This window comes from Homo sapiens, chromosome 1, assembly GCF_000001405.40.
Source record: "Homo sapiens chromosome 1, GRCh38.p14 Primary Assembly".
Lineage (NCBI taxonomy): Eukaryota > Metazoa > Chordata > Mammalia > Primates > Hominidae > Homo > Homo sapiens.
Genome location: NC_000001.11, coordinates 1423990 through 1443560, shown reverse-complemented (window position 1 = coordinate 1443560; position 19571 = coordinate 1423990). Strand labels below are relative to the sequence as shown.

Below are 19571 nucleotides of genomic sequence, written 5' to 3'. Positions count from 1 at the left end.
TCTATTAAAAATACAAAAATTAGCCGGGCATGGTGGCACCTGTAATCCCAGCTACTCAGGAGGCTGAGGCAGGAGAATCGCTTGAATCTGGGAGACAGAGATTACAGTGAGCTGAGATTGCGCCGCTGCACTCCAGCCTGGGTGACAGAACAAGACTTTGTCTCCCCCCACCCCCCAAAAAAGCAGGAAACACACAGCTACTGCCCGGGAGCTGACAGTCCTAAACTGTCCTCTCTCTGGCGGGAGGCTGTCATGTGGGCTGTGCTTCGGGGACTGGACTTGGTTTATTACTGTCACTATAGAAAATTGACTTGGTTTGGCCGGGCGCGGTGGCTCACCCCTGTAATCCCAGCACTTTGGGAGGCCGAGGCGGGCGGATCACCAGGTCAGGAGATCGAGACCATCCTGGCTAACACGGTGAAACCCCATCTCTACTAAAAATAGAAGAAATTAGCCGGGCGTGGTGGCAGGCGCCTGTTAGTCCCAGCTACTCGGGAGGCTGAGGCAGGAGAATGGCGTCAACCCAGGAGGCGGAGCTTGCAGTGAGCCGAGATCGTGCCACTGCACTCCAGCCTGGGCAACAAAGCCAGACTCCATCTCAAAAAAAGAAAAGAAAAGAAAAGAAAATTGACTTGGTTTATCACCGTCACTATAGAAAATTGACTTGGTTTATCACCGTCACTATAGAAAATTGACTTGGTTTATTACCGTCACTATAGAAACAGGCGACCTGCTTCCCTAGGTGGCTCCCAGCAGCGTGGCCCACGCTTGGACACCCCACTCCCCAGAAATCTGGACTGAGACCCCAGGCCTCTGTCTGGCTTCTCACGAACAGCTGTCTGGAGAGCTTCACGTGCTGGAGAGCTGTTGCTCCGTCATCGCTCACAGAGGCATGGGCCCGAATTTCAGCCCCCTCTGCCTCTCCGTCCAGTGGCCAGCAATGGGCTGTCCAGCGAAGGGCCTCGCACAACCTGTCAGGGACTGGTCTGGCACGCAGCCAGCGTGAAATCCTCAGGTTGGTTCTCTTCAGATGTGGGAGGTGACCGCAGCCCTGCTCACAGAGAGGGTGGAAACTGGCGCAGGTGTGGGAGCAGCCTCCCTTCGGGGTCTCCTCGAAGTACCCAGGGCTCTCCCCAGCGCTGCCCGCCCCCAGCCTTCTGAACACCTGCCACGTGGATCACAACCTTGTCGCTCTTCTCGTCTCAACTAGAAGCAACTGCAGCATGGCCCTTCCCGATTTCCAGGTGCATGTCGAAAAGCGTGCAGTGGCCTTGTGACGTGGCCGGGCCCTTGGCAAGGAAGTCCTGGCGGGTATCAGCCTCTGCACTGCACCCTGGGTGGACTGAGTCGGGGCCAGGATTGTGTCAGGGGAGGTGGAGGAGACGCGGGGACAGCCGGTTCACAGCGGCCTGGACGGAGCACTCCGGGGCCAGAGCTGTTCTGAGACTTGGTGCAGATTCAAAGATTTTAAAATGCCTGGGGCTACATAAGGGGCAGCACTTCTCAGACGAGGGCTTCTGAAAGGGGCATTCCTTGGCACTGAGATGGAGACGGCAGTGCCTTTTCACCCTCTCCGTGAGGCCTTGTGCTGTGCTCAGCCTTGGTGTGCAGAGATGGGCAGAGGGGAGGCAGAGCCTCTGCCAGACGGGTATGTGGGGAGCAGGGTTGTGGCCAGGGCCCCCGCTCTGCCCTCTCGGGATTGCAGAGCTGGAGCTCCTCCCAGCTTCTCATGTGAGTCTGAGTCGTCCACAGAAGCCACTGAGGCCACCAGGAATGAGCCCCTGGTGCCCCGCTGCCACCTGCAGGGTGCTCCGTGAGCTGGGCCTGGGCTCAGTGTGCAAGAGGCATCTCCTCTCACGTGACCGTGGGCTCAGATCTGCCAACACTCCGGAGAACAGGGTAGGGGGCAGGGGCTGCACGAAGGAGATCCTACCCCTCCAGAGGAGGTGGGGCCCGAGGCCCGGGCCTGCAACCCTGGCCACCTGCCGACCAGCAGTGCAGTTGTGAGCACGCCACCTGCAGTGACACACACAGCCCATGGGTCCTACTCAGGCCTCCGTGGCCTGACTTGGGGGCTAAGGGGAGCTCAGGAGAAACCCAAAGTCCAGCCAGCAGGGCCCCCCCACAGACACCCCCTGCACACACAGGCAGGGGGGCCTACTGTGTCTCATGCATCATCACACCGGAGGGCAAACTCTGCGTGGTGAGCCTGGCCCCAGCCGGCCCTCCATGAATGGTGACCACACCCAGCTGGTGGGCGGTGTGGCCTTGGGTTTCTGGTGGGGCCACGGGATGCACAGAGCTGGGTTCTTGGGAGACGGTGCCAAGGCCAGCTGTCCCGAAGGTGGCCCCTGGCACAATGCCCACCAGACCTGAGGGAGGGACTGAGACCACCTCAATGCTGCAGTTCCTGGGGTCACGCAGAGTCCACGTGGGGAAAGGGGCAGTGGACCCCATGCGGTGCAGGGTGTGGCTTTGCCAGCAGAGGGAGCCCGCGTGGCCCTGGGCCCAGGGCTCCGGGCCGTGGCAGAGACTGCGGTGGGAATGGCCCTGCAGAGGCCCCAGCCCCCTTGTCCTCTGCATTCCAGCCACCTGCCCTGGGCCCAGCTCCAAAGGAAGGGGGCCCAAGCTCTCTGAATAAAAGGTGCACATGAGGACCAAGGAGGCCTGACACTGGGAGGGGACAGCTCCACCTCCTCTCCCCGGACACCCCAAAAGGCGGAGACGTTCACAAGCTGTCCTGTCGGCGGCTGCTGTTTGTGGAGGAGTAAAGCATCCTAGCGAGACTGCAGGCTCGGTGTACATCTGATTTACTGAATTTTAAAGTCTGGGATGTTAGTGGGGAAGAGGCGAGGTGAGCATTGCGTGACGCCGAGGACTAGGCGGGGCGGGGACTGCACCTGGCTAGGCACCCCCACCCTGGGCAACTTGCCCACGGACCCCAGGGCAGTGAGTAGTGACAGGAGGTAGCCCGGGGTGAGACCTCTCACAGCAAGAAGATGGTGTGGTTGCTGGGGCCTCCCTGGAGAGTGTCGTCCCTGCGGCCCCTGGGAAGTGCTCCCTCACGACGGAAGGTTTCCTGTCAGTGCGGTCCCGGGGCCTGATAGTGGCGGTGGGCGGGTGGGGTCACGTGTCCTCAAGGTCCTGAATGCCCAGCTCTGCCCCATTCCTCTGATTCCCAGTGGCTGCTAGCTGGACCCAGCTGGTGTCCTGGGCATGAAGGCAGGGCCACCGTCCCCAGCAGGTGCTGCCCTCCTGGCCAGCTGAGCATCCTGGCCACCATCAGCGTCCAGGTGCCCCTACTCGCCCTTCCTCTTCTTCAGAAGCCTTTGCGGACCTGACCTGGGCCAGCTTCCCGCGATTCCCCTTCCGCTTCCTATCAACGTCCAGGACCCAAGCTGCCCGCCCCAGGCCAGCCCTTGCCACTTGGGGCCCGGTCTTCACACGTGGGAGTCTGACCGGGGCTCCTCCCTGAACAGTCCTGGGTCTGACGCTCTCAATTATCACCCACGGACCCACACGACGCCCGGCTCTGGGCGGGGATGGGGCCGGGGCTGCTGCGGGGTCCCGCCAGGCGAGGCCCCAGCCCTGGAGGGCAGGCGCCAGGCGGGGAAGCCCTGCGGCCGCAGGGAGAGGGCCGGGGTCGCGCGGAGTCCGCGTGGGGAAAGGCCGGGCCTGCACCCGTCTGCCGGGTTGGGCGCCTCCGCTCCGGGTTCGGGACACAGGGGCCCTCAGGTAGGCGCCGGCCCTCTCGGCTGGGCGGGGACGCCGGCTTACGGCTCACGGCTGGCGGTCCCCGGGGTCGGGGCGCGGGGCACGGGGCGTGGGCGCGGGCGCGGGCCGTCGGGCGTGCAGGCCTTGGCGGACAGCGCGCTCTCGCGGCCCGAGCGGAAGGCGGCGGTCACGGTCACCAGGTAGGCGGTGCCCGGCGCCAGGCCCTGCAGCGTGGTGCAGTTGCGGCCCGCGGGCACCTCCACCCGCTGCGCCTCCCCGCCCCGCAGCGGCCCGAACTGCACGTGGTAGCCGAGCGCCGCGGCTGAGCCCAGCGCTGGGGCCCAACTCACGCGGAGGCTGCGCGGCCGGGCGTGGGAGATGACGATGCGCTCTGGCCCGGCCTCCTCTGGGGCGGGGAGGGCGGCGAGCTGCGTGGGGGCCGGCCCAGCCCCCGACTCCGGGCCCGAAGCCCCCGGCCCTGCCTCACCGGGCCGCGTGCGCACCCGCAGGATCTGGGGCCTCAGGAGGCGCACGTTGGACTCAGGCACTAGCGCCACGTCGTAGTCCGTGTCCGGGTCGAGGCCGGCCCAGATCCAGTCCGTGGCGTTCCCTGGCAGCTGCTGGCGTCTTGCAGCCCCCGGCTGGGCGCTGGGCACCAGCTCCAGCACATAGTAGCCCGAGTCTGCGGTCAGCAGGGGTGGCCAGGCCAGGCGGAAGCCGCTGGACGTGATCTCCGTGGCATGGAGCTGCTGCGGCCGCATCGCGTCTGTGGGTGGTGCAGGGGGTCAGGGAACAGCGGTCAGTTCCTCCTCCGCTGCTGGAGGGCGGCCCTGGCTGATGGGGAAGATCTGGAGATTGGAGGCCCCACTAGGAAAGACGGGGCCCCGCGGCCAAGGAGCTGCTGGAGCCATGCCCCGCAGATGCTGGGGATTCTCAGAACGTGCCTTGGCTGGGGGAGGACGGAGGAAAGGGTGCAGCCCCCTCAGGCCCTGTCAGAAGCGCCCCTGCCTCCCTTAGCCCCAAACCCAGTCCTTTGTGGAGAGGTGCAGTGGCCAGATCAGTGACCAGGACAAAGGTCCTCAAAGACGGCAGAGTCCACGGTGGTGCCTGAGAGCAGAGGACCAGCCCCAGCCTGAGTGGCCAGGCCGGGGTCTGAGGTCAGCCCGGCTCTCTGAGCTGCAGCTAGGAGATGGGAGACCACAGGGGCAGGCCCTGGGGTTCTGGAGGCGCTGCCTGCCCTGGGTCCCCAGGAGAGTGTGGGGTGGGGTTCTCCAGAGGGGGACTCCTGGACCTGTGACACCAAGCCCCACATAGCCCTCTGAGTGACCCTGCTGTGGCGAGGCTCATAAATGTCTGCGCTGGGTTAAAGCTATCAGGATCTTCCTCCTGCAGTGCTGGGTGCCTGGGCCACTTTCTTCCCATCCCCCACCCTCAGACCCGGCCTCTTTCCCAGGAGCCCCCACCCTGCTGCCTGGCCCCTCGGCACTGCAGCCTCAGGCTTTTCCTTTGGCTGCTTAAGGCAGCCTTTCCTCCTGGTCCCCTCCAGGCGCAGCTGCACTGGGTGACCTGGGGCCACTAGGGGCCAGACGTCCCTGGGGAAACCTTGGGGAGGGCCGTCCACCCCTCTCCAACCCACAGTCCAACCCCTTCCGGCTCTGGGTGGATGATTAACCCACAGACGGAGACTTGGTGAGATCCCCAGGGTTGGCATTTTTCAGTGGCTGCAGCAGGCTGAGCCAGTGGCCGGTTCCTCATCTCCAGCCCCAGCTCCTTCAGGGCTTGGCTGGGGCAGGGAGGTCCAGAAAAAAAGCCAATGGGAGCTGCTCAGCTCCTGCCTCAGGCCTTCCCTGGTCCGGCCTCTCAGGAAACCCTCACAGTGGGCCTGCAGTCCGAACTAGTTCAAAGCCCTCGGCGGCTGTCCCCACCCAGGAGAGGTGCCCTGTGCTCTCTGGGGGGGCAGTCCCTGACCTTTCTGGCTCACCCCTCTCCAGGTATGGTGGGCATGCTCAGGAGCACATGCTGCCCATCTGCAGAGTCCCCAGACTTGGAAGCTTCTTCCTGGGCCTACACCCGGGCTCTGCACTCCCTGGGGCCTCGAGGTCTGGGCTGGACACATCAGCAGGGAGCTACACCTGGAGGTGGCTACTCAAGCCTGCCCCCGTCTCAGCAGGGTACACGGGTCGCCCAGTGAAGAGTGTGCATAGACAAGCTGCATCACTCAGCCCTGCACCCTAGGGGTACCACAGCCCCGGAGGCCCTGGCCGCTGCTCTGGGGACATGAGATCTTCCCAAAGTCTCAACCCAGCCTCTCCTTCTGCGGCTCCCAGCTAGGGCTCCCTGGGCCCTGCCTCCTCCCGCATACCGAGAATGGAGCCCCTCAGCTCTTGGACAATGATGTGCAGGTCATCCACGTCCACAAAGTGCAGGTGCTTCTCGGCAGGGGCTGAGGCAGCGGCTGACAGCTCCAGGAAGTTGCCTCGGCCGGTGCTGACAATGAACACGGTGACGCCCAGGTCCTTGAGCTCCTGCATGGGGGGGCCCACAGGGTCGCTGGAGCCGCCATCTGTCACCCACACCAGCACTTTGGGCACCCCTGGCCGGGCACCTGATGCTTCAGCAAACAGCTGTTCCTTGGCATAGACCAGCGCCAGGCCAGTGTGGGTGTCACCCATGCGCTGGGCAGAAGCACGCACCGCATCCTGGGCAGCCTCACCCGAGCTGTGCTGGCCGAAGGGGAACTCGGTGTATGGCCGACTGCCCACGTGCACCAGACTGGCACGCAGGGCCCCGGTGCCCAGGGGCAGTGGAGCCACCAGCTGCCCCACAAACTCCCGAACCCGGGAGAACTCGTAGTGAGAGACGCTGGCTGAGCTGTCCAGCAGGAACATCAGGTCCCCTCGGGGGGCTGATGCTGGTGGACCTGGGGGAAAGGAGGAATGCTCAGCCTCAGGTGTGGGCCCCCCAGACAGCCCCACAGCAAGGCAGGGTCCCCCAGGGCCCCAGCTTTCCTTAAGTGGATGCTTGCCTTCTCCCAAAGGTCCTAGGTTGGGGGAAAGAGGAACTCTAAGCAAGAGGCCTGTACTTTTGGGGGTTTCACTGCACACTGGCCATGGGATCTAGGGCTCTCTCTGGGCTTGTGTTATCCCATCTGTGAGAGGGCGACTCTCCGCTCCAAGCCCCCACACCTTCCCATTCCTCACAGACCCTGCAAGCAGGTGGAGCCAAGAGTCCTGGCCTAGGCCCCCAGGACAGGCCTGAGCCGTGGGGCTGTTCCCTCCAGGCATGGCTTTCAGAGGAGCAGCCTGAGGCTGGAGTTCAGCCACGCAGCTCAGCCTGCAGGTGAGGCACCCTGGGCATGCACACAGCAGCAGGGGAAGGTGTCGGAGGCACAGCAATGACCACGCCGGATGGCCTGGCTGGAGCCCAGACCCCGCTTACTAGATGGTGGCCCCTCCCCTGGCCTCCATCCTCCAGCCCACCTGGACTCACACAACAAGATATAACCCCCAGCAGCCTGAAAGCCGGAACAGCCCCTCGCAGGCTTCCCCCTTCCTCCGGGCACCTCCGGGGTGGAGGCTGATGCCCCCTACACCGCCCCTCCCCACCAAGCCAGGGCACCAGCGTGCCTCAATTCTAGTCCCGGCCTTGCGGTTTTCCCCAGTGCGGTGGGGCGACTCCAACTTCCCTACCATCCCTCCACTAAGGGCCCTCGCAAGGGTAGGGAAACTGAGGCAGGGGTGCCCCCTTGACAGACATCTCCCTCTTCCTGTCCAGGCCCGCGATCCCGCAGAGATGCGGGCCGGGACGGCCCCTATGCCCCGGCGCTCACGGACGGTGTCGCCTGGAGCACCTGGGCCGCCAGCCTCAGGTGAGCAGGACGCTCCGCCCGCGCCCCCGCCCGGCTCCCGCAGCCTCCCAGCCCGCCCGCCCGTCCGGAGCAGGGGACAGCGACGGCCTTGCGCGGGCAGCGGCGCAGAGCGGTCACCAGAAGCCCCAGCCCCGGCCCGGCCGCCCGCCGCACTCACCGCGCTCCGCGCCGCTCCGCGCCAGCGCCAGCCGCAAGCTCAGGGCCAGGCCGAGCGCCGTCCAGGGGAGCATCGCGCGCGAGGGACGGGGCGCGCTCGGCAACTCGCTCGCTCGCTCGCTCGCTCGGGGCTGCAGGGCGCGTCACCGCGCGGACCAGGCCGGCCCCGCCCCCGGGAGGCCCCTCCCCGAGCGGCCACACCCACGCCGAGGCCACGCCCACGCCCTCCGGCGCGAGCGGAGGGCCACGCGCACAGACCCCGGAGAGGCGCGCACGAGCGGACCCCGACACGCAGGGACACGCAGCACCAGCCGAGATACGACCGAGGCACGCACGCGCAGGCACGCACACACACACACTCCAGTCTCCCTCTCCCGGCCGAGGCTGTGCGGCCCACGCTCTCCACCCCTCTCCGACCCCCAGCCGCGGGAGCCGAGCAGGGAGGTACCAGGCTAGGCCCTCCCCATGCCCACCACTGCCGTGACTCTGGGTGCTGGGGTCCCAGCAGCCAGGCCCAAGAGAACCCCAGGGGCTGGCGGTGGCACCAAAAAAACACGTCCAGACCGTGGTTTCGCCTTGGCCTCCGCGCTGGAGGCGGATAGGTGTCTGGAGTAACAGGACATGTATCCCAGGGACTGACCAGCAGGGATGGGAAGGACCATGGGGTGGAACTTACAAGGACACAGTGGCTTGAAAGGGGACAGAAGACAGGAATTCGAGAGAGACTCGAAGCACCCACGCCACCTGGGCTTCTTGGAGGAAGAGGCATGGGAGTGGGAGATGGTTGGTTGAGGCCCTGTCCAGTGGGACCACACTGGGCCTGTTACCCATATACCCTACCCAGTGAGGGGCCCAGACTCCAGGACCCAGGACACACCCCCAGCAGGACTGGAGGGTCCCACTGGTGAGACAGGAGCTCTTGAGTCTTGGGGTCTTGGTGAGGCCCAGACGAGAGGTGGCTGGTTGCAGGGGGCGTCCTGAGGGACAGTGGCTCCCAGGGCAGATTTCCCCTGCTTGGGTGGGGCTGGGCCAGCAGTGTCCCCTGGACAGGAGAACCCTACCCCGGCCCTCCCTCGGAGTAGCCATGGCCCTCTTCCAGGGCCTCCTCAGCTCAGAGCTGGGAGGTGGGGGACGTGGGGGGGTGTCTGCCAGGATGTCTCCTCCTTCCCCACCCTCTCCTGGAGGATGCGCCGCGGGAGAACGGATGGGGCTCCACAGGCTTCCTTCCTCCCTTTCAGGCAGGTGAGACACCGCGGGGCCGTGCGGACGGCCAGCACTCGACTTTGCCTAAAAAAGGAAGCAGCAGGCTGAGGCTGAGGAGCTGGCGGCAGGAACAAGGGAGAGCTGTGTCCCCGCCGGCGCCCCCCACCCCCCCTGCCGGGGATCTTGGCAGTGGAGGTGCTGGCTGCGCTCCACAGACCTCAGACCTCGGCTGGGACCAGAAATGCCTGGTGCTTCCGCCTGGGCCCGGTGGGGGGACTTTGGGTCCCCAGAGTGCAAGCTGTACCACTTCGAGGGGCCTCGCCAGGCCCCCCAGCCCCCAGTACACAGGGGCTGCCGTGGAGATGACGCTGAAGGCCGCAGCCGCTGGAGGACCTGGGGTCTGACCGGAAGCTGGCTGCAGACCCTGCGGAGGCACGTCCAGGTAGTCAGGCAGGGAGCTGGGCCGAGGGTCCCCCACCCTGGGGAGGCTCACAGCCAGTGGCCCGCTTGTCCCCCACCCTCGCCCAGCAGGCGGGCCACAGTCACACCTCAGCCAGCCTTGCAGGGCTGACGGGGAAGTTTCCCTCACTTCTGGAAAAAGTGAGCGGGTCTTCTTGGCTGTGACTCAGGCCCTCAAGGAAGCGGCCGCCCTCCTCCCTTCAGCTCGCCATCAGCGGGAGAAGGCACAGGAGGCCTGGCCTCCACCCAGCCTGGGCCGAGCTCAGCCACCTGCCTTGCTCCCGGCTCTGCCTGGAGTCCCTCCAGCTAGGAGACCCTCCCCATCAGCTCTCCCCGTGCCCCTCAGTCTTCAGGACTCATTCTTGTGTCCTGCCCTCCCCCCGCTGTCTCCACCCCGGAGGAGGGACGTGGACAGAGGGTCCCAGAGAGCATGGGGTCAGCCAGAGGTGCAGTGTCAGGGCCCGGGCCGGACTTGAGGCAGACACCGGAGGAAGCACAAATATAACAGCCGGAACCCTCCACTCTCCAGGGAGAAGGGCCCGGGGTAAGAGGCAGAGGCAAGGACGGGTCAGGCCAGATCACAGTGGGTGCTGGCCCCGAGCCCTCTGCCTCCTGCAGGCACAGCCCCTGTCTGATCCTGGTGGCCTGGGGCCCCATGGGGTGGGGAGCAGCCTGGTTTGGCTGCGGCCACCCCGCCCCCACGGTCTGGGCCTGGGCTGTGGGAGTCCCTGTGCCTCACTTCCCGGAGCCAGCCTGCCCTGCCGGTCTGTCTGCAGGCAGGTGGAGAGAGTTCCAGGAAGCTGGGGAGGCTGCTGTCACCCGGGCACCGCCCCTGCCCCCACCCGCCTTTGGGAATGCTCCCTCCTCCGCACAATCCAGGCTTCTGCAGAAGATGAAGGGCCTTTTGTCCCCAGCTGGCTGTGGTCATGTTTGACCCTGGGTAAAAGGGCAACTCCTGAGGCCTCTGACCCCACCCCTGACCCGAGCTGAGGGCAGGACGCCCAGGCCCGCACCCGGCGCCTTTTGTTGCTGTTTTCACGTATCTCACAAACGTACTCAAGCACACACAGGAGCAGATGGACGGGGCGGTGAGGGGCAGCAGTGGTGAGGGGCAGCGGCGGTGAGGGGCAGCGGCGGTGAGGGGCAGCGGTGCGGGCCTGAGGCACTGCTCTGGGGTGTGCCTGAGCCCACCCCACAACAGTAAGTGGGGCAGAGCAGGGGTCACCAAGAGAGCAGGGCCCACGCAGCTCCTAGACTCAACCTGCTCACTGGGGTCAAGGACAGGTCTTGGGGGCCTCGGGGGTCACTTTTCACTTCCCAGGAGCCCAGGCCTGCCCCTCTGGCCCCAGAGCTGACCCCCCTCAGTCCCCCGTGCCAGCAGCAGCTGGGGTGGCGGGTAGACACCTGGCGGGTAGCAGCCTGGGTAGGGGTGGGAGCTGCACCATCTGCGTCTGTCCATCCATCCCTCGTCTGTGTGCTGGGCACAGCCGCGCCCCAGCCTCAGTGCTGGGGACACACAGGCGCCGGGCCAGCACTGCCAGGCTAGGAGGGTGGGCGGTGAACAGCTAGGAAAGATACGGTCTACTTGTTTTCCCTGTGAGAACAGGGGGTCACTGGGGACTCGCACGCAAGGGGTACCCGAGGAAGAGCCTTCCAGGCAGAGAGAAGGAACCGCGAGTGCTGAGAGCAGGGTGGGGTGGGCAGGAGGGGCCTGCGCCAGGACTGCAGGGGCAGAGCAGGCTGGGGGCCTTCGGGAGGGGTGGCCGGGTGGAGGGTGTTGCCGGCCTCGACAGGGGCAGGAGGTTCGTCACAGCGAGGACAGAGCCCGGCCCGGTGGGAGCCGGAGAGCAGCAGGCCTGAATGACCCAGGGTTTCCTAATAGCAGGGCCCCTTCCTTGTGTGGGTCCCCTCACTTTGCCTCTCTGCTGGGACATCCTTCCCTGAAAGGGAGAGGAGGACCACATGCTGCCCCTTCCCCAGACACAGTCCAGACAGGCCCAGGCCACAGCCCTGGGCAGACGCAAAACTCCCAGGGGCCTGGACTGGGATAGGGAGGAGGCAGCAGGGAGGGACTGACCTATGTCCACACACCACAAGGGACTCCCAGAGGCGGGTGGGGCGGAGCTGGGAGCAGGGGCCTTAGCCCTCAGACCAGCCCACTCACCCTGGGGAGTTCCTGCCCCACAGCCTGCCCAGCTTACAGGCCTGGGGGCAGGGGCAGGCCAGCACAGGCCGGAGGGACAGAGGGAGCCACATCTGAGGGGTCCCCCAGCTGCTCACACCGTCTGAGGCTGTGCTTGCCAACAACTCTGCTCCCAGGAAATATTTTGCAAATCAGGAAATGACACCGGGCAAGGTGGGAAGCCCACTGCATCCAGTGGGGTGGGGCCCCTTACTGCCTCCCCTGCTCCGGCATGACGTGTGACAGGGACGCAGATGGGACACACACAGCCACACACACACACTCCGGGCTCCCATTTGGGCAGGGCAGGGGCCTCAGCCACCGGGAAAGAACGCCAAGCAGAGGTCCCCACAGCCACCCTGCAGCTCGGCTGCACCCAAGGAGTTCAGGCCCCTGGGCCAGTGGAGAGCTGTGGTAGAGACTGCAGGAAGAGGGAGGCTGCTCCTGGCCCTCAGGCTGGGGGAAGGGGCTCTGGGGGAAGGGGTGTAGAGGCACCCTCAGGGTGGGGGCGGGCCTGGGGACCCAGGGTCCTGAAGTGGAGGGGTTTCGGTCAGGGACACCATGCTGGGCAAAAGTTGGGAGAGATTCATGGGGTCCAGGTGGGGTCCTGCCCCTGCAGGGGCTAGAAGGGCTGGGCAAAGGCCAACTGTATACCTGGGGCCTTGAGGAGGGGAACCCTGGCTGGGGGCCCCACCTCCCCCTCATTTCATGCCCCCCTCCTGGCTTCCCAGATGGTGGCCGATAAGGGAGCTGCTTAGGATCCATGGAAGGGGCCAGGCAAGAACCCGGGGGAAGAACCCAGGGGCCTCAACGCAGGGCCCGTTCTGTCCTAGGGGGTGGGGCCCCTGCCTTCCAACGTGGGGCCTCTTCTGTCCTGGGGGTGGGGCCCCTGCCTTCCAACGGAGGGCCTCTTCTGTCCTAGGGGGTGAGGGGGTGAGGGGGTGAGGGGGTGGGGCCCCTGCCCCGGCACTCGGGCTCTGGCCTTCCTGAATCGCCCCTTCCTTGCTTCTCTTCCGCCGGCCAGGCCTCTGCTCTCCGGGGCTACGGCCTCCCACAGGCACGTTCCTACATCCCTCTGTGAACCGCCCACAGGCCCCCCCACAGGTGTTCCTCTGTGAGCTGGTCGGGCGGCCGGGGCCGGGGCCGGGCTTCGCTGCTCCGTGCCTTCCACCTCCCTGGCGGTGCGGGGCCTCAGGGTGGGCCTGGGAAGCTGGAAACACCTTTGGAAACAGCCGCCTGAGGCAGCTGTGGACAGAAGACCCTGCCCAGCAGCCAAGGGAGCTGGCCTCTCCGCTCAGCCTCCCCACCCCCACCAGGCCCAGCTGTTGTTTTCACGGCTCCGGGACCAGGCGGATCCTCAGCCAAGAGCTTCCCAGGAGAGCCCTCATCTTCAACCCCTAGTGGCGACCAGAGCCAGCCCGGGCAGGAGGGGAAGGAAGGCGGCCGCGGCCCCGGGGAAGCCATCCTGGCAGCTTGGCCACTGGCCCGGCTCCTGTCTGACCAGGAAAGGCATCAAAGCCGGACTCGGATGGAGGCTGGAAAACCCCGAGACTTCTGCTGGACTCGACCCAGCCACACACCAGGCTGTGCTCAAGGCCACGGAATGAGCCTTGACCCTGGCCCCAGACGGAGCCCAGACCTTGCTGGTCACAGGCTGAGCCCTGCTGGCAATATGATGTACTAGATCCCTTAAAAGGCCTTCCAGCAACAACCAACTTCTGGATGAATTACTATGAGCGTACATTTTTAATAGACTGTTGTGTTTCCAAGAAAGTAAATATCTCCGAGTCTCCCCCAAAATTAAACAGCAAAAATAAATAAGGCCAGGTGGGGTGGCTCATGCCTGTAATCCCAACACTTTAGGAGGCTGAGGCGAGAGGATTGCTTGTGCCTAGGAGTTCGAGACCAGCCTGGGCAACATGATGAGACCCCGTCTCTACAAAAAAATTTAAAATTAGCTGGGTGTGGTGGTGCACTCTAGTCACAGCTACTTGGGAGGCTGAGGCAGGAGGATCACTTGAGCCTGGGAGGGCGAGGCTGCAGAGAGCTAGGAGCTCACCACTGCACTCAGACTGGGCGGCAGAGCAAGACTCTGTCTCTAAGTAAACAAACAGACAGAGTAGTGTGGAGGCCTGGATGATGAAGGGAAGTGGTTGGGAAAGCAGATAACTCCCTGGACACACACAGGGACAGAGAGCCAGCCTGCGGCCAGGGAACAAGTATGTTTCTCTGCCTAGGGGCTGCTTAAACCAGGGGTCTCAAGGGTCACTGAGGGGGCCGAGGGTGGTCTCGCCTGGAAAAGGGGAATAGTCTCTGGAGGGAAGCATCCCCAAGTTGGACCTCAGAATTGTCTCCGATAACAGCTGACAATTAAACAACCAAACGTTCAGAGAAACACCATGCTACTGATGAGAATCGGCAGAAACACCAGTCACAGATTTAGACCCCCAAAGACTAGGACACTGGAATTATTTAGTACAGAATATAAAATAACTATATATGAAATATGTTTAAGAAGTGGAAACTGTAATCTAAAAAGCAAGCATGTATCAAGAGACCATAAAAAAAATCAGACAAATCTAAAACACAATCAGATGTAACTTTTAGATATGCTAACCTTTTTTTTTTTTTGAGATGGAGTTTCACTTTGTCACCCAGGCTGGAGTGCAGTGGCACCCTCTCAGCTCACTCCAACCTCTGCCTCCAGTGTTCAAATGATTCTTGTGCCTCAGCCTCCTGAGTAGCTGGGACTACAGGTGTGCACCACCATGGCCAGCTAATTTTTTTTGTTGTTTTTTTGTTTGTTTTTAAGATGGAGTCTTGCTCTTGTTGTCCAGGCTGGAGTGCAATGGCATGATTTCGGCTCACTGCAATCTCTGCCTCCTGGGTTCAAGCGATCCTCCTGCCTCAGCCTCCCAAGTAGCTGAGGTTATAGGTGCCCACCACCACGCCCAGCTAATTTTTTTTTTTTTTTTTTTTGAGACGGAGCCTCGCTCTTTCGCCCAAGCTAGAGTGCAGTGGCGTGATCTTGGCTCACTGCAAGCTTTGCCTCCCAGGTTCACGCCATTCTCCTGCCTCAGCCTCCCGAGTAGCTGGTACTACAGGTGCCCGCCACCAAGCCCAGCTAATTTCTGTATTTTTTAGTAGAGACGGGGTTTCACCGTGTTAGCCAGGATGATCTGGATCTCCTGAGCTGGTGATCCGCCCTCCTCGGCTTCCCAAAGTGCTGGGATTACAGGCGTGAGCCACCGTGCCTGGCCTGGATATGTTAACATAATAATTTAAGATAAAATGAATGAGTTAATCAGCAGATTAGACGGAAGGGAGTAATTTGATGAGGGGGTAAAAGAAAATGGTGAGGATATGGAGAAGGAATTCGTGGTGAAACTGGACACAATTGTTGAGGGATTTCCAGAGCTGATGAACGTTGTGGACCTGTGGCTTACACCAAACAGGGTGGGTGTGAGCTCGGCACAGCTAGGACGCGCTGGTGAGACCAAGGAACACCAAAGTCAGTGAGGAGATCTTAGTGTCTCCCGGAGAGAGCCGACCGAGGCTGGCGCATGTCTGAATGCGAGCCTGGCCATAGGCTGAGCCCGGCTGCCGCCACCCCTGGGCTTCTGGAACCCTGGGCTTGGCCGAGCGTGGGTGTCTCCCCTGGGAGCCCCAGAGCCCTGGACGATGGAGGCCGGGACCTGGGCAGGCGCGGGAGGCCTTGGGCTGGGGCCTGCGCCCCTCCTCTGAGGGCTGCCTGCCGGGCTCTGCCCTGCCCTGCCCTTCCCTCCCCTCTCTTCCCCTCCCCTCTCCTCTCTTTCCCTCACCTCCCCTCTCTTTGCCTCCCCTCCCCTCCCCTCCCCTCTTCCCCTCCCCTCCCCTCTCTTCCCCTCCCCTCCCCTCTCTTCCCCTCCCCTCCCCTCTCTTCCCCTCCCCTCCCCTCTTCCCCTCCCCTCCCCTCCCCTCTCTCCCCCTCCCCTCCCCTCTCTTCCCCTCCCCTCCCCTCTCTTCCCCTCCCCTGCCCTCCGTGGCGGGGGCGGGGCTGCGGGCGGGGGAGGCCGGGGTCGTAAGCCGGGAGCGCTGCGCGCCCAGCCAGGAAGGGGCAGCGGGGGCGACCCTCAGTTTTCCGGGCCGGGCCACGCGATGGGGTCGCGCGCGAGCTCGGAGGCCTCCCGGGGTTTCGCAGCGGCCGCCGGGTCACACCCAGGCGCAGAGTTGCTCGTCCTCGTCGGGGCGCCCCGGGGGGCGGCGGGGTCCGGGGGTCCCAGCGGGCGGAGGCAGCAGCGGGCGGAGGCGCCGGGCTAGGCGGGCGCGGACGGCCGAGGCGAGCACCAGCAGCGGCGGCAGCGAGAGAAGCCCGAACACGATGAGCGCCGCGGAGCCGCGGTCTGAGAACAGCGCGCGGCACCGGGGACCCGGAGCGGGGTGGACCTGGGGGCCGGGCGGGCCGTCAGTGGGGGGCGGGGCGGGGTAATGGAGGGCTGGGGGCAGGGCAGGGTGATGGAGGGGAGGGGGCTGGGCAGGGTGATGGAGGGGAAGGGGAGGGGTGGAGAGGGGAGCGGGCGGGATGATGGAGGGAAGGGGGAGAAGAGGGGAGCAGGGCAGGGTGATGGAGGGGAAGGGGCAGGGCAGGGTGATGGAGGGGAAGGGGAGGCGCGGAGGAGAGGGTGTGGGTGGGTCAGGGTGATGAAGGGGCGGTGAGGGCCGGACGGTGAGGGATGGATGGGCGGGAGCAGGGTGGAGCGGGGAGGGGAGAGAGAGCGGGGTGGAGGAAAGGATGCAGGGCCACGGCAAAGGGAGACGGAGGGGTGCAGGGCGGGAGAGAGGAGTGGGCGATAGAGATGAAAGAGCGGGGCGGGGCGGTAGAGGGGCCGTGGCGGGCTGAGCAGGGCGGGAAGAGGGAGGGGGGAGATGGAGGGATGAAGGATTAGGGCCTGGGCGAAGGAGAGGCAGGGCGGGGAGAGGGGAGGGGGCGGGCCGCTGTGGGCCAGGCAGTGCTGAGGGGTGAACAGGAGATCCGGGACGCAGCAGGTAAAGGGCTGAGCAGGGTCCCTTGAGGGGAGGCTCAGAAAAAGCGCCCACTGCCGCGTTCTGCCCGCTTCTGCCCTCCTGCGCCCTCTCATCACCAGCTGGCGCCAGCCCCCGTGCCAGCAGAAAGGGGCCCGGGGCCCAGAGCAGGCCACAGCCCACTCTGCAGGTGGGGAAGCCCCACGCTGGCAGGAGGGCCTGGGAGGGGCCTTGTGTGTTTGGGGAGGGGCTGGGGGCTGTGGGTTAGTGAAACTTCAACGACATTTTCATCTTCTTTTCCTGGAACCCCGTTCTCTCCCCACCCCCACCCAGCTGTCCAGGCCCTGGTGGCCCCTGGTACAAGGCTGGGAGGCCTCAGGGAAGGGACAGAGCTGTCCCTTGGGTGAAAAACAAAAGCTCTTCTTTGGCTGTGGCTGGTGGGGGTGCTTGGGAGAAGGGGCTGCCAGGGAGGGGCACACGTGTCTCTGAGGACAAGGGGCAATTCTGGAAGGGGGCACAGTGCCTTCAGACCCAGGGCACGCCCACTCCCCAGGACCCCAGCTAGTCCCCCGCCCACGGGGCACAGGCTCACCCTCGAGTGGCACAGGAATCCCAGGTAGACGACGGCGGCCGCGGGCAGGAGCACCAGCAGGAAGGCTGCGGCGGGCAGCAGGAGGTGCAGCAGGAGCCCGGCCAGCAGCCGGCCGGGCAGCAGCGGGGGCCCCGACCACCCTGGGCACGTCAGGGCTGAGGCCTGGTGGTCGGGAGGTCCCCGGGGCAGCATGGGCGCTGTGTCGGAAGCACCACCTCCCCCCTCCTCCTCCTCCGTCTCCCTCCCCTGCTCACTCATGCTCCTGCCACTGCAGGCCTGTGGCCCGGGCGGTGCTCAATGCAGAGTGGTGCTCTCCAGGGCTGCCCTGGAAGACCTTTAACCCCGCCCCACGTTGCAGCCAGTCCACATCCCCCAGCCAGACCGTGGACCCTGGCTAGGGAGGTCCTGCCCTGATGTCTGTCCCAGAGCCACACCCCCACCTCAGTTTCCCCTCTGCCAGGCAGCTGCAGCTCCAGCAGCGCCAGTCTCCAGCCCCAGCCAGCTCCTGGTGCTCTGGGCAGGCCTTGCAGGGCCCTTCCCACCGGGGCCGCCTCCCTCCCTGTGCCGGGCGGGGCTGCAGCTCCCCCACACAAAGACCTCATTTCAAAGGGCTTGACTCCGGTAGCTGCCCCATCAGTAGCTGCCACCTGGAGGCCAGCCCCCCACCCCCTGTCCCAGCCCCAGCCCCGCTGCTCCCTCATCTGAACACCTTGTCGGTGTCCTCCGCCTGCGTCTCAGAGTGGATGAGAGGGGACCTGGGATGCGCGTGAGCCGCAGGGTGTGGGGCCCGTACACGGCAGGCACTCAGCAGGCTGCCAGGGACCACAGGCACCCTCGCGTCTGAACCCAGCCATCCCGAGCAGAGGAAAGGCAGATTTTCCAGGACAAGAACCTGTGTTCCATCATTTTTTTTTTTTTTTTGGAGACAGTCTCACTCTGTCACCAGGGCTGGAGTGCAGTGGCACGATCTCGGCTCACTGCAACCTCTGCATACCTGGTTCAAGTGATTGTCCTGCCTCAACTTCCCTAGTAGCTAGGACTACAGGCGCTCACCACCGCGACCAGCAAATTTTTGTATTTTTTTTTAAGTAGAGACGGGGTTTCACTGTGTTAGCCAGGATGGTCTCGATCTCTTGACCTTGTGATCCGCCCACCTTGGCCTCCCAAAGTGCTGGGATTGCAGGCGTGAGCCACGGCGCCCAGCCCATCATTTCTAGTCAGGGGCAAAACTTTTCCCATCCAAAACCCCAAGCATTTTCTCTGAACGTTACTCCCGACTCTGACTTTTTTTTGAGACAGGGTCTCACTCTGTCACGCAGGCCGCAGTACAGTGGTTCAATCACGGCTACGGCAGCCTTGACCTCCTGGACTCGATCAGTCCTCCCACTTCAGCCTCCTAAATAGCTGGGACTACAGGCACCTAACCACCGCGCCCGGCTAGTTTTGGTATTTTTTGTAGAGATGGGATCTTGTCACGTTGCCCACACTGGTCTGGAACTCCTGGTGTCAAGTGATCTGCCTGCCTGGGCCTCCCACAGTGCTGGGATGACAGGCATCAGCCCCCGCGCCCAGCACAGTCCCTGACGTCTGTCCGTCTCCCAGGGCTTTATTGCACGTCAGCAGTTCCAGCTCCATTTTCTTTTCTTTCTTTTTTTTTTGTCGAGGAGGAATTTTTTGCTCTTGTTTCCCAGGCTGGAGTGCAATGGCACGATCTCGGCTCACTGCAACCTCCATTTTCCAGGTTCAGGCAATCCTCCTGCCTCAGCCTCCCGAGTAGCTGGGATTACAGGCGCACACTACCACGCCCGGCTAATTTTTGTATTTTTAGTAGAGGTGGGGTTTCACCGTGTTAGCCAGGATGGTCTCAAACTCCTAACCTCAGGTGATCTGCCCGCCTCGGCCTCCCAAAGTGCTGGGATTACAGACGTGAGCCACTATGCCCAGCCTCCAGCTCCGTGTTCATAATTAATTGACAGGAGTAGGTGTCTGTGAGCTGAGCCGTTCCCTGTGAGGCCTTCTAGTGGGCTCCATCCCTTCCAACACCTTCCAGGCCTCTCCAGCTCACCTACTTCCTTCAGACTTGTGAACAAGAAGGAGAGTGGTACCATGTGGCGTGTGACATCTAGCAGGGCAGCAGAGGCCTCCCTGCAGTGTCCCTACAGCGCTGGGCACGGTGGCTCACACCTGTAATCCCAGCATTTTGGGAGGCTGAGGCGGGTGGATCACTTGAGGTCAGGAGCTTGAGACCAGCCTGGCCAATTTGGTGAAACCCCGTCTCTGCTACAAATACAAAAATCAGGCCGGGCACGGTGTCTCATGCCTGTAATCCCGCACTTTGGGAGGCTGAGGCGGGTGTATCACCTGATGTCAGGAGTTCGAGACCAGCCTGACCAGTA

General features: G+C 63.9%; 3 protein-coding genes and 1 long non-coding RNA gene across 7 annotated transcripts, besides 10 other annotated features; 1 reads left to right on the top strand and 3 right to left on the bottom strand.

Moving 5' to 3' along the window:
- Positions 1 to 678: 678 nt before the first annotated feature.
- Positions 679 to 7871, bottom strand: VWA1 (von Willebrand factor A domain containing 1). 2 transcript variants are annotated; one of them, NM_022834.5, is made up of 3 exons: positions 7740 to 7871; positions 6077 to 6634; positions 679 to 4480 (listed from the first exon to the last, which is right to left on the bottom strand). In NM_022834.5, exons 1-3 carry the CDS (start codon positions 7810 to 7812, stop codon positions 3774 to 3776), a joined length of 1338 nt encoding a protein of 445 aa, NP_073745.2. In that variant the 5' UTR covers positions 7813 to 7871; the 3' UTR covers positions 679 to 3773. The 2 variants fall into 2 exon arrangements, with proteins under 2 accessions (NP_073745.2, NP_954572.2); NM_199121.3 differs by having other exon boundaries at positions 6077 to 6239.
- Positions 1933 to 2082: an enhancer, noted in NCBI's record as "active region_20". NCBI's record gives its function as "activates an Ori minimal core promoter by ATAC-STARR-seq in GM12878 lymphoblastoid cells {active_cell/tissue: GM12878}" and the evidence as "EXISTENCE:reporter gene assay evidence [ECO:0000049][PMID:35858748]".
- Positions 2699 to 2748: an enhancer, noted in NCBI's record as "active region_19". NCBI's record gives its function as "activates an Ori minimal core promoter by ATAC-STARR-seq in GM12878 lymphoblastoid cells {active_cell/tissue: GM12878}" and the evidence as "EXISTENCE:reporter gene assay evidence [ECO:0000049][PMID:35858748]".
- Positions 7702 to 8071: a silencer, noted in NCBI's record as "silent region_74". NCBI's record gives its function as "represses an Ori minimal core promoter by ATAC-STARR-seq in GM12878 lymphoblastoid cells {active_cell/tissue: GM12878}" and the evidence as "EXISTENCE:reporter gene assay evidence [ECO:0000049][PMID:35858748]".
- Positions 7754 to 7943: a silencer, noted in NCBI's record as "fragment chr1:1370998-1371187 (GRCh37/hg19 assembly coordinates)". NCBI's record gives its function as "represses an EF-1alpha promoter that drives an FKBP-Casp9 reporter gene in an ReSE screen in HepG2 liver carcinoma cells {active_cell/tissue: HepG2}" and the evidence as "EXISTENCE:reporter gene assay evidence [ECO:0000049][PMID:32094911]".
- Positions 8012 to 10328, bottom strand: LOC107985729 (uncharacterized). Its single transcript, XM_017003066.2, has 4 exons — positions 10273 to 10328; positions 9490 to 9598; positions 9159 to 9365; positions 8012 to 9025 (listed from the first exon to the last, which is right to left on the bottom strand). The coding sequence occupies exons 1-4, from the start codon at positions 10326 to 10328 to the stop codon at positions 8411 to 8413; spliced, it is 987 nt and encodes a 328-aa protein (XP_016858555.1). The 3' UTR covers positions 8012 to 8410.
- Positions 8217 to 8960: an enhancer, noted in NCBI's record as "H3K27ac-H3K4me1 hESC enhancer chr1:1369981-1370724 (GRCh37/hg19 assembly coordinates)". NCBI's record gives its function as "activates a minimal SCP1, AML or CMV promoter by ChIP-STARR-seq in naive H9 embryonic stem cells {active_cell/tissue: H9 hESC(naive)}" and the evidence as "EXISTENCE:reporter gene assay evidence [ECO:0000049][PMID:30033119]".
- Positions 8217 to 9112: a biological region, named in NCBI's record as "Sharpr-MPRA regulatory region 8235".
- Positions 8818 to 9112: a silencer, noted in NCBI's record as "tiled region #8235; K562 Repressive non-DNase unmatched - State 8:EnhW". NCBI's record gives its function as "represses a minimal TATA promoter and a strong SV40 promoter by Sharpr-MPRA in K562 cells {active_cell/tissue: K562}" and the evidence as "EXISTENCE:reporter gene assay evidence [ECO:0000049][PMID:27701403]".
- Positions 8898 to 8957: an enhancer, noted in NCBI's record as "active region_18". NCBI's record gives its function as "activates an Ori minimal core promoter by ATAC-STARR-seq in GM12878 lymphoblastoid cells {active_cell/tissue: GM12878}" and the evidence as "EXISTENCE:reporter gene assay evidence [ECO:0000049][PMID:35858748]".
- Positions 8988 to 13404, top strand: LINC01770 (long intergenic non-protein coding RNA 1770). Of its 3 annotated transcripts, none has more exons than NR_125996.1 (2): positions 8988 to 9373; positions 12899 to 13404. It is a non-coding gene; the product is annotated as a long intergenic non-protein coding RNA 1770 (long non-coding RNA). The 3 variants fall into 3 exon arrangements; NR_125995.1 differs by having other exon boundaries at positions 8988 to 9383; NR_125994.1 differs by having other exon boundaries at positions 8988 to 9383; positions 12607 to 13404.
- Positions 10449 to 11192: an enhancer, noted in NCBI's record as "H3K27ac-H3K4me1 hESC enhancer chr1:1367749-1368492 (GRCh37/hg19 assembly coordinates)". NCBI's record gives its function as "activates a minimal SCP1, AML or CMV promoter by ChIP-STARR-seq in naive H9 embryonic stem cells {active_cell/tissue: H9 hESC(naive)}" and the evidence as "EXISTENCE:reporter gene assay evidence [ECO:0000049][PMID:30033119]".
- Positions 13306 to 17690, bottom strand: TMEM278 (transmembrane protein 278). The gene is made up of 2 exons (NM_001146685.2): positions 17176 to 17690; positions 13306 to 16007 (listed from the first exon to the last, which is right to left on the bottom strand). The coding sequence occupies exons 1-2, from the start codon at positions 17431 to 17433 to the stop codon at positions 15774 to 15776; spliced, it is 492 nt and encodes a 163-aa protein (NP_001140157.1). The 5' UTR covers positions 17434 to 17690; the 3' UTR covers positions 13306 to 15773.
- Positions 17300 to 18165: an enhancer, noted in NCBI's record as "H3K27ac-H3K4me1 hESC enhancer chr1:1360776-1361641 (GRCh37/hg19 assembly coordinates)". NCBI's record gives its function as "activates a minimal SCP1, AML or CMV promoter by ChIP-STARR-seq in naive H9 embryonic stem cells {active_cell/tissue: H9 hESC(naive)}" and the evidence as "EXISTENCE:reporter gene assay evidence [ECO:0000049][PMID:30033119]".

Bases quoted from the DNA above. Each gene is read 5' to 3' on its own strand.
- VWA1 (NM_022834.5), bottom strand. From the start codon at position 7,812: ATGCTCCCCTGGACGGCGCTCGGCCTGGCCCTGAGCTTGCGGCTGGCG. The intron at 6,635-7,739 runs GTGAGTGCGGCG...CCTTTCCCCCAG, and splicing joins GCGGAGCGGCGCGGAGCGCG to GTCCACCAGCATCAGCCCCC. The intron at 4,481-6,076 runs GTATGCGGGAGG...CACCACCCACAG, and splicing joins GCTGAGGGGCTCCATTCTCG to ACGCGATGCGGCCGCAGCAG.
- LOC107985729 (XM_017003066.2), bottom strand. From the start codon at position 10,328: ATGACCACAGCCAGCTGGGGACAAAAGGCCCTTCATCTTCTGCAGAAG. The intron at 9,599-10,272 runs GTGCGGAGGAGG...GGCGAGCTGAAG, and splicing joins CTTCTGCAGAAGCCTGGATT to GGAGGAGGGCGGCCGCTTCC. The intron at 9,026-9,158 runs GTCTGTGGAGCG...TTCCTTTTTTAG, and splicing joins GGTCCCAGCCGAGGTCTGAG to GCAAAGTCGAGTGCTGGCCG.
- TMEM278 (NM_001146685.2), bottom strand. From the start codon at position 17,433: ATGAGTGAGCAGGGGAGGGAGACGGAGGAGGAGGAGGGGGGAGGTGGT. The intron at 16,008-17,175 runs GTGAGCCTGTGC...CCCGGCCCCCAG, and splicing joins GATTCCTGTGCCACTCGAGG to GTCCACCCCGCTCCGGGTCC.